The sequence below is a fragment of the Homo sapiens genome, chromosome 10 (assembly GCF_000001405.40).
Source record: "Homo sapiens chromosome 10, GRCh38.p14 Primary Assembly".
In the NCBI taxonomy this organism is placed as follows: Eukaryota; Metazoa; Chordata; class Mammalia; order Primates; family Hominidae; genus Homo; species Homo sapiens.
In genome coordinates, this window is record NC_000010.11 from 16,822,523 (window position 1) to 16,836,630 (window position 14,108).

At 41.1% G+C, this 14,108-nt stretch overlaps 1 protein-coding gene across 4 annotated transcripts in view, besides 1 other annotated feature; it reads right to left on the minus strand.

The window, feature by feature from the left end:
- Positions 343 to 494: a silencer, noted in NCBI's record as "fragment chr10:16864864-16865015 (GRCh37/hg19 assembly coordinates)". NCBI's record gives its function as "represses an EF-1alpha promoter that drives an FKBP-Casp9 reporter gene in an ReSE screen in HepG2 liver carcinoma cells {active_cell/tissue: HepG2}" and the evidence as "EXISTENCE:reporter gene assay evidence [ECO:0000049][PMID:32094911]".
- CUBN (cubilin) overlaps positions 1,444 to 14,108 on the minus strand; it is a 305,846-nt gene continuing 293,181 nt past the window's right edge. For all 4 annotated transcript variants that reach the window (NM_001081.4, XM_011519710.3, XM_011519709.3 and 1 more), the window contains 5 exons: positions 13,713 to 13,860; positions 12,492 to 12,673; positions 8,730 to 8,895; positions 6,283 to 6,518; positions 1,444 to 2,560 (listed from right to left, as the gene is read on the minus strand). In NM_001081.4, coding sequence (NP_001072.2) covers positions 2,453 to 2,560; positions 6,283 to 6,518; positions 8,730 to 8,895; positions 12,492 to 12,673; positions 13,713 to 13,860 — 840 coding nt within the window. In that variant the 3' untranslated portion in view covers positions 1,444 to 2,452. The remainder of the gene's footprint in view (positions 2,561 to 6,282; positions 6,519 to 8,729; positions 8,896 to 12,491; positions 12,674 to 13,712; positions 13,861 to 14,108) is intronic.

A 14,108-nucleotide genomic window follows, 5' to 3' on the forward strand; every position in this document is an offset into this window, starting at 1 on the left:
GGATCTGTGGAAGTTTGAACTAAAGAGTGGCAACCTGGGGTATCTGGTGGAAAAAATTTCTAAGCAGCAAAGTGTTCAAGATTTGGGCTGGCTGCTTCTAATAGCATGTGCTCAGATGTGGGAGCAAAGAAATGACTTCGAATTGGAACTTATATTAAAAAGGAAAGCAGAGTGTAAAAATTTGGAAAATTTACAGCCTGGCCATATGGCAGAGAAAGAAAAAGCTTTTTCAGGAGAGGAATTCAAGCAGGCTGTGAGGCATCCACTTGCTAGAGATATTTGCATAACCAAAAGCCAACTGCTAATATCCAAGATAATGGAGAAAAGTCCCCAAAGGCATTTCAGAAACCTTTGCTGAAACCCCTCCCATCACAGGCCCAGAGGCCTGGGAGGAAAGAATGATTTCATGGACCAGGCCCAGGGCCCTGCTTCCCTGCATAGGCTCAAGACAGGGCTCCCCACGCCCTGGTCACTCCAGCTCCAGCTACGGCTCAAAGGGGCCCAGGTACAGCTTGGGCTGCCACTTTGGAGAATGAAAGCCATAAGCCTTGGCAGCCTCCACGGGGTGTTAAACCTGCAGGCACACAGAGTACAAGAGTGGTAGATTCTTGGCAGCTTCTCCCCAGATTTTGGAGGTGGTATGGAAAAGCCTGGGTTTTCAGGAAGCAGCCTTCTGCAGGGGCAGAATCCTCACAGAGGACCTCTACTAGGGCAGTGTAGCAGGGAAATGTGGGTCGGAGGCCCCACACTGAGTTCCTACTGGGGCACTGCCTAGTGGAGCTGTGTGAAGAGGGCCACCATTCTACAGGAGAGTGGAGAATACTCAGAGAAATTAAATAACCAGGAGAGTACAGGGTCCTGGGGATAAATGAAGAAAAGGTTCGGCGTGGCCAGGAGAAACAGAAGTTTGAGTCAAATGGGAGGGAAATAGAGAATTCAGAGGTTACGGCAAACTTCTCTGTAGTTAAGGCAAGGTCTTTGGAGAAGCTCAGATTGACCTAGGGGCATGGCAAAAGGTAAACACAGGTGAGACTTGGGCCTGGCTTTGGAGGAGTATGGGAAAAGCAGGTACATCTGTATGGTAAGGAGGAGAGTCATACTACTACTAATTGACATAGAAGCTAGCATTTACCAATTACTTAATATGCACCAGGTATTGTTCTGAGTCTTTACACATATATACTTAATTATTGCAACCCTGTGAGACAGGTAAAATAATCCCCTTATACAAATGAAGAAACTGAGCACAGAGAGATTGTGTAAGCACTTAACTAGTACAGTTAAAATTGAAACTCAGGCAGCTTGGCTCCAGAAATGAAGCTCTGGAAGATTCATATATATATTGAATTCTTTGCCAAAATGTAAAAATTAAACTTGAAAATTTATATATGTCCCATAGTGAAAGACAGAGTTTTAATAAGTCAAAAAATTAATGCAGCATAATTGTGTACAATTCAATAATGTTTATTATGTGTAATTGAACATTCACAGGAAATTTATGCTTCTATATTATCATTAACTTTTGTTGTTCTTGTTGTCATTTTTGAGATAGGGTCTCAGTCTGTCACCCAGGCTGGAGTACAGTGGTTAATTCACAGGGTTTCACTGCAGCCTTAACCTACTGGGCTCAAGTGATCCTCCTGCTTCAACCTCCTGTGTAGCTGGAACCACGGGTGCATGCCACCATGCCTGGCTAATTTTTTGATTTTTTGTAAAAATCAGGTCTCACTTTGTTGCCCAGGCTGGTCTCAAACTCCTAGGTTCAAGCAATCCTCCCATCATGGCCTCCCAGCGTGCTGGGATTATGGGTATGAGCCACTGCCCCTGGCTATTATTATTAACTTTTAAAAATGTATGTCACATATGCCATAATCATTTCCAACTCTTTCAAAGTTTTTTTAAATTTCAGCTCAAAATATTAGAATGAAATGCACACTCAAGACTAAAGAAGCTATATTCTATGTTCGAGAAAATGTACAAATATTGATTCTGGTTTTTTTTGTTTCTTTTTTTTTTGAGATGGAGTCTTGCCGTCTCGCCCAGGCTGGAGTGTAGTGGTGTGATCTTAGCTCACTGCAACCTCTGCCTCCTGGGTTCAAGCAATTCTCCTGCCTCAGCCTCTCGAGTGGCTGGAATTACAGGCACCCACCACCACGCCTGGCTAATTATTATATTGTTAGAGAGATGAGGTTTCACCATGCTGGCCAGGCTAGTCTCAAACTCCTGACCTCAGGTGATCAACCTGCCTCGGCCTCCCAAAGTGCTGAGAATACAGGGGGGTGAGCCACCACGCCTGGCCTACAAATATTGATTCTATCCATGGTTTGGTGAAAAACCATACAAGTTCAGCTTATTCTCTGTGGCATCAGCAGGGGTCATGTATCAGGATGGCAGAGTGCTGTCCAGCGTGCTGCAGAGGGAAAGTGCTGAGTGAACACGAGTTGTTACCCACTTAGCTGTCCCAAGTTAATCGGAATGCGGATGGACGCCGTGCATAATCAGCATGAAATTTTATGAAGACCTGATTTGAGGAAGCCACGAAGGGAGCTATGCTGGTGTCCTAAAATTGAAAAAAAAAGTATCCAATTATATATTTCACATATTTGAACGTTTTTCTAGGAATGTTAGCCTAGTAACAAAGTACCACATAAAGAAACTTTATAGAATTTATGGTGAACCTGCATATATTTCTTGAAGTAACCTTGCAAAGAATGAATGCAAATGCTTTACAAAGGAATATTTCTGGGCGTGGGGAGTTGAGGGAAAATGGGGAAGGACTGCAAATGGGTACTGGGTTTCTTTGGGGGGTAATGAAAGTGTCCCAAAATTGGCTGTGCTGATAATGGCCGCACAGCTCTGTGAACCTACGAAAAACCACTGAATTGTATACTTTAAGGAGATGAATTGGATGGTATTGAAATTGTATCTCAATAAAACTGTTATCAAAAAACTTGAACTTCTTATTCAAGTTCTTACTGCAAATTTAATTTTTCTGAAACAAACATATATAATTAAAATGATCCTATTAAGTAAAATATAGTATTTTCATCCTCAGTGTTTATAGTTTTTCCTCTTGAGATTTATTTTCATATACTTCTGTGGAACAGTGTGTGTGTGTGTGTGTGTGTGTGTGTGTGTGTGTGTGTGTGTGTTGGGGGGATACATGGGTCCCCGTTGTCTCTCACTTTCTATTCATTCATTTGGCAAATATTGATCAAGGCACTGCCACGCTGCAGGTATTAAGACATTAAAAAATGAGCAAAACAGGCAAAAAGCCCTGCTCTCATGATGCTTACATGACTGGCTTCTCCTGCCTCAGCCCTACCCCAAGTCATCAAAACACAGGCTTATTTCCAAGATACTCACTTACTCAAGTGAGTGTAGATTTTTTTTTCTGTAAGAGATACATCAAGGAATATACAATATTTTTATTCCTATACACATCTACTTTTTACTCCCATTTTAATCTGCTTCCAAATTTCAATAACTTCTTTTATTTTGACAAACTAGTATGTCAACAGACGGTCAACAGAAGTTTTAGAATCTCCTTTGATTCTCCTTGTTTGTCCCGTTATTCTCTCATTTGCTAGATCTTCATTTTCTGCAGCTGCAAGGGATATAGGATTTCCCTGTGAACAATGGTATTTACCGTAATATAAAATATCTCCAAATCAGGGTTTGTGTTTATATTAGCAAAATAAGGAGCTACCTCTGTATGTACACTGTATGTATTTAAATACTGTATGTATATAAATATTACAAGTTTAACAAACATATTTACATACATAAAAAGTTGAATTGTATACTTAAGGAGTATACATACAAAAGTATACAACTTTCATATGTATGTAATTATGCATGTAAATATGTATGTATGTAACATGTGAAAGTATGTATGTAAATATTAGTAAAATATTACAACTTACAAAAAGTTGTATGTAAATATTAGCAAAACAAGAGCTACCTCTGTACTTCATGTTTTATACTTATGTTTTACATTTTTTCATTTATGTTTAACATTGATAAAGTGTTAAAGAAATCAGTGGTACCTTTAAGAAAAAAAACAATTACACATGAAATTATATCCACATTTATAAAAAAATGTAAAACTGGGAAAATACCGTAAACACCAACAGTTAAAAAAATTGATGTTATCTCGCTATATACTTCAACTTAACGTGGCATTGGATTAAATGGCCGTCACTTCTCTCAGTGACTCGGTTTATACTTGTTCAGTATAAACCTGAACTCGGTTTATACAAGTCCAGGATATACTTGTTCTTTCCACCTTATGGGAGTGTCACTGTGGGGATCAAATGGGGTTGTATGTTTGCAAGCCACTGAAAACCATGCCCACAAAAAAACCCCTACCAATATAAAGTCATGGTATTGTTAAAATTGCCTCTTTTCCTCCCTTTTGAAATGTTTGTAAATTTCAATTCAATGTCTAAGAGCTGATTAGCTTCTAAATCTGATGTGTGGCACATTTACTGGGGTCTCTCTCTCTGTGGGCCTTCTGTGCATCCCCGTGATACAGTGTCTGCTGGTCCTGTGATTACCATTTCTCACCAAGTAATGTAACTATATGTATAAAGATATCACTACCAAAAAGTTTATTAAGTGTTGTCTGTAGTTGCAAAAAGTTCAAGAGACCTAAATGTCCACTTAGAGGGGCTTCATTAAATAAATTAGGCCACACTCGTGCAACGGAATACTCTCCAAAACTTAAATATGATGCAACAGTGTTTTTATTGATATGTTACTAATGATATATTGGTAAGTAGAAAAAACACACCATCAAACAGTAAAAAATATGCATGTAAAATATATGCAAATATATTCAAAGAAAGGTGTTAAGAATATATGAGAATGCCCAGGGTTTTAGAAAAATTAGCCTATTTTCTGATACTTCTGAAAACAGCATTTATCAATTTTATAAATAGTAAGTTATATTTTAAAAACCATCTAGATTTCCAGCTGATACAGTTCTCTGTCTAGTTTGATTACAAAGTCTAAGTGATTAAAGGGCAGAAAAATCAGAAACAGATACCCGCTTGCCAACAGCCAATTTTCCCTTACTTACTCTCTTGTTATTTTGAGATGGAGTCTGGCTCTGTCGCCCAGGCTGGAGTGGAGTGGCGCCATCTCGGCTCACTGCAACCTCCGCCTCCCTGGCTCAAGCAATTATTTTCCCTCAGCCTCCGGAGTACTTGGGATTACAGGCGTGTGCCACTATACCAGCTAATTTTTGTATTTTTAGTAGAGACGGGGTTTCCCCATGTTGGCCAGTCTAGTCTCAAACTTCTGAGCTCAAGTGATCCACCTGCCTGGGCCTCCCAAAGTGTTGGGATTGCAGGTGTGAGCCCTTACTCTCTTTAAGTATCTACTTGCACATCAAATGAGAGGATCGTAAGCACAGATGCCTGCAATATTGAATCAACGTCAGATTCTGATTTTTTTAGGGAAGATATCAGAGCTTTACAAAAACAAACTATCGGTCACCATTTCTTCAAATAATTTCTGCAATTTTCAGCAAGAAGTAGATAAAATAGAGCCACGTGTCCAAATTTTCTACAGTTCTATTTATGCAGAAATAAACATGGGTATTCAACCCTAGGCAGTGCACTGACGTCACAGAGGGAGCTTTTTTTTAAAAAAACAGCGTGCTGTGACTCCTCCCTGGGAAATCCCGATTCAGTGGGTTTCGGTGGGAACTGGAAGTCTAATGTAAGTAACTCCACAGGTGATTCTGACGCAGGGCTGATTTTTGTAACTCTTAATAGTAATTTAATGCAATGCCCACCAGATGGCACTCATGCTCCCATAATAGAAAGGCAAGTTGGAAAACTGCTCAATTTGTTAAAGGCTGTGCTTCTTCCTCTGCAGTGTGTCTGCCTTTGAAAGTCTACACTAGGCCGGGCCCAGTGGCTCACGCGTGTAATCCCAACACTTTCGGAGGCCCAAGCGGGTGGATCACCTGAGGTCAGGAGTTCGAGACCAGCCTGGTCAACATGGCAAAACCCTGTTTCTACTAAAAGTACAAAAATTAGCTGAGTGTGGTGGCAGGCACCTGTAATCCCAGCTACTCAGGAGGCTGAGGCAGGAGAATTGCTTGAACCCAGGAGGCGGAGGTTGCAGTGAGTTGAGATTGCGCGCACCACTGCACTCCAGCCTGGGTGACAAGAGCGAGATTCCATCTTAAAAAAAAAAAAAGTCTACACTAAGTGACTCATTATTGTCTAAAAATAACAAATGGGAATATAAAATGTTTGTTTTACTCACGCCTCCGCAGTATGGTCCAGAGGATGGAGAGCTGGCGTTGGGCCCATCATAGAGTGTGAGATAGTTCTGGACACAGTCTCCTGGATCGTCAATGCTGATGAAGTAGAAGTTGATGGTGACAAGCCTTCCAGCAGGAGCAACAAGGACCCACTCGCAGTACGTGTTGTTTGGGTATGTGCCTGGATAGCCGGGGCTGGTGAATGAGCCTCTGTCTCCATAAAGAGTTCCACCACATCCTGCAAGGAAAACAGGACAGGAAGTTTGATTCAACAGCATATAAGCCGTCCAGTCTGGCTTGTTAGGCAATAAGACTTTATTTTCTTAAGGTGCTGAGACTCTGCAAGAATAATGGAGGCAGAAATCCCTTTTCCTTTTCCTCTTCTTTGGGCTACACCCTTTCTCCTCTCTTCCCCTCTCTTCCCACTGCCACCTCCACCTCTTCCATCCTCCACACACGTGCCTTTGCCTGCATATCACAACCCAGGGATAACTTCCTCCAGGACTGTACTTTGAAAATTGGGGGTTGAGAGCAGAATGGAAAAAAAAAAAAAAAACAAACTTGATAAAGTAACTGTGGGAGAAAATCAAGTTGTTGTCTGTGTGCTTTCGATGGTGTAGAGATCTTTGCATGCCCAGAGTTGACGCCAGTGATGTGAGTGAAGTAAAATTAGAAGTAAAATTCAGCACTAAACCAAGAGGGAGTGCGTTATTGTAGGTGACGGCAGGAATGACTTCATTATAAAAGTGACTTTACCAGGCTAATAACTGACATACTTAAGGTCAAATACTTCAAGTTTTGGTGTTAATTTGTTCAATTTGTTAATCTGTATATGAAGGCTGTCATGATTTAGACTATATATCTGTGGAGATCCAGGTCATCTCTGGGACAGGAAGAAGCTGGCTGGCATAGTTACAGAGCACGTGGCTGGGCCTCTGACCACTGAGGTCTAATCTCACCTTCACCTCAGTCTAGTGGAGCATTTTGGGCAACTCATTAATCTTGGTGGGTTTTTTTGTTTGGTTGGTTTTTTTTTTGAGATGGAGTCTTGCTCTGTCGCCCAGGCTGGAGTGCAGTGGCACGATCTTGGCTCACTGCAAGCTCCACCTCCCGGGTTCATGGTGGGTTTTTTTTGTTTTGTTTTTTTTTTTGAGACGGAGTCTTGCTCCGTCACCCAGGCTGGAGTGCAGTGGCGTGATCTCGGCTCACTACAGCCTCCATCTCCCAAGTTCAAGTGATTCTCCAGTCTCAGCCTCCCGAGTAGCTGGGATTACAGGCATGTGCCACTACACCCAGTTAATTTTTGTATTTTTAGTGGAGATGGGGTTTCACCCTGTGGGCCACACTGGTCTGGAACTCCTGACCTCAGGTGATCCACCCACCTTGGTCTCCCAGGGATTATAGGTGTGAGCCACAGCACCTAGCTTAATCTTGGTGTTTTATTTGCTCGTTGATAAAATTTGAGCATTGGAGGTCACCTTTAAGCTTCCTTTGGGTGCCAAGATTCCATTACCCACGATTATCTTTATAGAACGCTTTTCTTAAGATATTTAAAGTGAGTTCTGTTTATCTTTCTTATTTTGAAGGTATTTTGGTATTTTGGGATATTTTATAAAGGTATTCCTCCTCTCTTGAATTAAATGTATTGACATGACTTAAATTTTCTTTAGTTGTTTGATAAACAGCCAGCCAAAAATGTGAGAAGATACTTACTACCCTAAAAAAAGCAATTTCTCTCCAGAACCGCCAAGAAATGTCAGGGCCTGCGAGAAGCACAACTACTCATATATATGCCAGAATGTGTTCATAAGTTGGATTTTTGGTAAAAATTTTTCTTTAAATTCTCAAAGAACTTCCTTGATGGTCAAGCCAAAAGTCAAAAAGTCTAACAAAATTTAATTTACCAAGGAATTTTTGAATCTTCCTACCTTACCTTATATATGTTTCATATATGAATATATATTCTTTTATAAACAGAAATAATGAATAAATGTAAAATTTAAAGTAATCTGGCCGGGCGCGGTGGCTCATGCCTGTAATCCCAGCACTTTGGGAGGTTGGATCACCTGAGTTCAGGAGTTTGAGACCAGCCTGGCCAATATGGGGAAACGCTCTGTCTACTAAAAATACAAAAATCGGCTGGGCATGGTGGCGCATGCCTGTAATCTCAGCTACTTGGGAAGCTGAGGTAGGAGAATCACTTGAACCTGGGAGGTGGAGGTTGCAGTGAGCTAAGATCACGCCACTACACTCCAGGCTGGATGACACAGCGAGATTCCATTTCAAAAAAAAAAAAGTAATCTGTACTTTCAATGTTAAAATCTCTATTCTTAACATAAACTAATCAGGTACACAGGTAGCTAAAAATATAAAGTTACTTTGCCTTTTACTATTAGACACCTCATGTTTTTCTCACAGTGCTTTCCTGTACAAAGTGCAAATGTCTTACCAGAGGGTGATGAAGTCCAGATGATTTCATATCCACGATCAGAAGTTACACTATCACTCTTAAATCGTAGGTATAGTTCATTATTTTGAGAGAAGACAGGGTTTGGCAGCAGAGTTCCACAGTACTTGCCCAGTAATGGTGAATTGCTGTTACTTCCATTTCTCACCTTTAGGAAGGAGTCATTCATTATTAAACTTACACTTTCTTCTCTAAGGTATATACATTAAAATGGAGACAATTTGAATGATGACATTGGTCGGAAAAGCTTTGTCTTTTTATACAGTTAAGAATGAAGCGTTTTCTGAAAATACATGCAGAAGTCACCTTCACTTGCAAAGGGGAAAAATGTTCCACGTGTAGATCAAAAAACATTTGCATTTGGATTCAGAAATACCTGTTAACCTACAGCAATTAAAACACCAGGCAGCTTTTTTATACCGTAGTTTGTGCTGTGATCCTGCAGCCTTTGCTTTTGGGGAAACATTCTGGAGAATGTAGGTAAAGTGAATTTTTAAAAGGTGGAGATGGGCGGGGGCAATGTTGCCTGCTCTGCTTCCAGTCAACTATTACACCTTTCTCATTGTGTGTGTGTTTGTGTATGTGTGTGTGTGCACGTGTTTCCCATTGAAAATTACTTGGCTGTAAAGAGGCTATGAAAAAATACAATGCAAAGTATAATAAAGTTCAGAACGAAAGGAATTTCTGTATGGGCAAAGGACAGAATTATAAATCTATACAATGTCTGTTGTTAAATGTGTTTTACAAACACATTCCGAGGCCTTGTTGCTTTTTTGTTTCAACTCATTTTTGAGTAGACACATATAAAAACAGGAGATGAGCCTGTGTTTTATGGGGAGAGAGAACTACACTGTGAACTGAACCACTTTCTGTCCCCCAGCCTGGCTGCTACCCTGCATTCACAACCAGCCCTGCTTCCAGGAGGGCTCTCGACGCTTCTTACGGAAACGTTACGCGGGCAATGTATGTTGGAACCAGCCTGACATGCGGAAATGCTGATTTTACTGATCTATGTATTCAAAATATTGGAAGTTCCTCTGTTCCCTATATAATTCCATGGTTTAAACTTTGGTTAATTGCTGGTATCTTAAGTCACAAAGTTAAGACATCTTGCTGGGCTGTGTTGATCAGGTGAGATTCCTTTTAGGTCGATGTAGTAGCCCATGGGAGAGAATAATGCCTTTCTAGTGCTTTGGGGATTATTCTGCTAAGTGTTTAAACAAAGTAACCTTGCCATGACAGAGTAGCCAGTCATCCACTAGTAGATGGGAGGGCTGCCATAGCCAGCACCACGCTTTTGAGTTTGGGCGTTTTTCCCTCAGGGTCCTCTTTCAAAATGCCGTTGCTCTGAGAGGAGCAGCAGGATACTAATTTCCACTGACACTGCTGACAACTTGTCTTATTCACTTTCCTCTCCTAGGAAGAATGGGGCCACCTAGAGCAGTGGGCATCTCTGGGACATCAGAGGATCTTGAAAGGGGAGGTGAAGGCATGAAAACAGATTCCAAGCATGGTCTAGAGCTCGGCCCTCGCTTGGTAGTAACACAGTCAGAATTCTCAGTCAGACATTTCCGTTCCCACCGCAGTTCACAAGAACGGAATGCTGAGGCTTCCTGGTACAGCTGCCAAGAAACTATGCCCACAGCCTTCCCACTGAGAGCCAGATGGAGCTACATTTTACAGGCCTAAGCGGTGGTTTCCTTTCTTTGCTTATGGGACAGGAAGTTTCAGATCCATTCTGTGGAGTAATGAAGGACAGCTAGGAGGAGGAATTCTCACTCTCCACGGCTGGAAAGCAAGGCTTTGCTTCCCAGCATCTATCAGGCAAATGGCAAACGTTGACTCTGATCAATAATGGTCCATTCAAGCTGGAGTGAGTTAAGAGTTAGTTGCACTGTGACTCCAACCTAACGGGATTATTCCATCTTTCCTCCAGATCCCACTCTCCTCATTCTTTCTGCTTTACACTTCATATAAATATTTGGATCTCCATGGTGGGGGAGGTACACAGGTCCAAGTTGAATAACCTGACCGGCACAAAGAATAACTGTATTTGCCTCTTCATTTCCTCCCTGCTATATACATCTTTCGGTCTCCTGTCGTGGCGAGTATTCCTTTAGAAAAGGCATGAGCTTCCTCCGAGTGTTATTTATGGCACTATATGTTAAGGTTATTGATTAATAAAGGATTTAGATGAATTCCAAAGGGGAGAGCTTTCCAGGATGATAAAACTCCGCATCAGGAATCATGTTGAAGCTAAACCCATATGCAAAGACCATATGCCAGAACACCCTTCCTGGCCAGGCTGGGCAGAAGGTGCCAGCAGCCCTAGGAGCCAAATCGGATGAGGGGGGTTGCAGGGCAGAAAAGAAAGAAGAAGAAAGAAAAGAAAGAAAGAAAGCCCTTGGTGCTAAGAAGCAGAAGATGTTTTGTTGGGAACAAAGGCTGAAGCTACCAAGAAACTATCAGCTGAGCAGAGGCCCGCTAGAAAGAATCGTCCCACAGAATGAAAGGAGCCCGCTGCCTACACCGGTACATTTCTTTATGCTACAAAGGTCAAATCCTCTTGGGCAGCTTATTTTGAATGAAGACCTGATTAAAGAGGCAGTGAGAAAAAAAATAAAATAAAAAATACAACTCCAGATCAGGGGTAGAGGAACAAGCACACTTTTTGGAAACTTTACTGAAGACTCTTGTGTGGTACAAAGCCAGTTTAGAGACGGTCAGGATGAGGTTTAGATTTAAACTCCACTCACAGAGGAACTCAGCATCTTTATGCTCTTGGTTTTTAGGTTCCACCTAAGTATATTTCCTAAGGATGAATGCATTTTCGACAGAGCTTGCAAAGCTCAAACCCCGTGAGCTCTGGGGTTTTTCTGGCAAAACACAGGGGCTGAGTTCCACACACTGGGTCCACATCACATGAGGCTTATTCAGACTATCTCCTGCCTATGAGCGATGATGTTCATGTTCCATCTCATATGCCCAATGCAGCGATGGGGCAGAAAGAGCACAGAGGGAGCTCATCGGGGGCACTGGAGGACCCCAAAGTTTCAGGCCCACGAGGCGCATGGTTCTGCCTGCTCCAGGCACAAGGGGGCTTCTCTCTCAGTGTGTCCTGGGGTGGGAGTGGGGGGTGGGTGTGTGGACGATGGGCAAACAGTGAAGTCATTTCTGTGCCCAAATTCAAGCTCTGGAGTTGTGGTGAAGAAAGGACAGACCACACCCCCCTGAGACCAGGGAGCATTTATTCAAGGAAACACTTGTCTTTAGAGGATGTTGACGATGCCCCAAACTTACTGTAGCTGTCAGGAAAATTAGGTGAGCTATTTAGTATCATTGAGCTTCATTTTACAGAACCAGCATGTTGTCCTTAGACTTCCCTCTGATCCTTTTAGGTCTCAACTTACATATTGCCCTCTTGAGCCTTCTAGTTCCCAGACTGAGTTAGGAACCCCAACCCATGCTGGACTCAGTTAGTCCTTTCCACATTGTGCTGTAATTGGCTATACCCCATCTGTCCTTCCTGCCAGACTAGGAGTCTCCTGCGGGCCCTAAGGTTCCCAATTTCCGGTGTTTGGACTGGTGCTCTGTAGATGTTTAGGGAATGAAAGGGTAATGAATAAATTAATGAAACAAATAAGAATCATATAATATTAGCAGCACTAGATAAAAGGTGTAAAATCTTAAGTGATCCACCATCTTTTAAATAATTCATTCAAACGATATTCAAATGCATATCACCTCCAAGAAATCGTTTCTGCATTCAACTGAGTTCTCGATGCCAAGTGAATGAAAAAAGAGGGAAATGGTGTGGTTCTGGGGGGCTGTGAGAGTAACGGTGCAATCCTTGTCATTGTCGTAGTTATCTGGCCATCCAGGGCTTCTCAGGTTGCCAAATGCCTTGTGATAGTCTCTGTTGCAATCTTAGAGGAAAAATAGGCATAATTAATGTACGCATTCCAATATTTAGTGCTCTTTCAACTTCACAGGAATCATTCAAAAAGATCATTGCATTTGATAAACTTTAGAAAAAAGTAATCCAGCTTCTTCGTTTACCTTTGAGATAATTGAGACCCTGAGCAGTGAAGTGAATTGCTCAAGCAGCACACACAGGTGCAATGCAACAGCTCGTTCACACAAACACGCCTACAGGAAGCATGACACAGGAGGCTTCTCCTTTAAAGACGAATACTCGAGCATCCTTTGAACTTTTCTGATCACGTTGAGGTGGAAGTAGCATTCAGACTCTCTTTTCGACAAGGATGCTACCTCCAAGACAGAGTTTTGCACAAGGATTTTAAATCCATTGTTGAGTTATTTGTGGCAAATCGTTATTTACCTTTTTTTTTTTTTTGGTAAAAAAATACCAAAAGTACTTTCGTTTGTTTTAACCAAAGGAAGCTTTCATTTGAGTCAATTCAAAATAAGTACTAAATAAAGTGTTCTGTGAAAATAAACTTCTTATAATAATCAGGTAACTCTTTCAAGGCTTTTTGATTTTTACAAAATAATTTTCTAAGATTTTCAATTTTGTGAAAATACTAAAAACCTCTGAAATATAAACTTTAAATGGGTAAATTGTATGATATGAGAATTATATTTTGATAAAGCTTTTGTAAATAAACATATATATTTCTTGTAAATAAAAATGTATATTCAATGTGGTTAAGTGTATAATTAATAAGATAATTGGCATATTTTTAAAATCAACTACATATACTTTGAAGAAAATGCTAGCATTCTAACCATCCTGGATAGTATTATATTCTCTTTATCTCTTTAGAAACCAACTGTAGTAATTTGCTAAATTGGGCTGGGTTCTAGTTAAGAGAGGGATGTGGTTTTTGTTAACAAATCCTAATTTACTCACAGGAGTCAATTCTAGAAATAATTGTAATTATTCTACGAATAATGGTAATGATGGCAGCTTTTTTGAATAAAAGATGAAGTTCCTGGCCTCACCTGCAATCTGATAGGTGAAACTCATTCTAGAGTTTCTGTTTACAACTCCAGATTTGAAAATGACCATTGCAGTACTCATAGAAGAATAAAACACTGGCACAGCCGAAGCATTTCTGCCACAGAACTGAAATCTTGAATTTCCGTGACCCTGAAATGAAATGGGAGCCAAATCATGTTAGATTTAGTCTTAGAAGAGAACAGGCCATAACAGAAATTAGACTGCATATAAAAGCATGGTGTAAATATTTAGCCATGGAAACCAGCTCTGCTGTTGGAAGTGCTCTGCAAGAAGACTCACGTTGGCCTTGGAATTGATGCAAGTTGCACCTTCCCAGAGGGGCAGGAGGAAGGGAGGCAAAGCTTCTGCTGAAACCACAGACATTTCCCTGCTGAAAA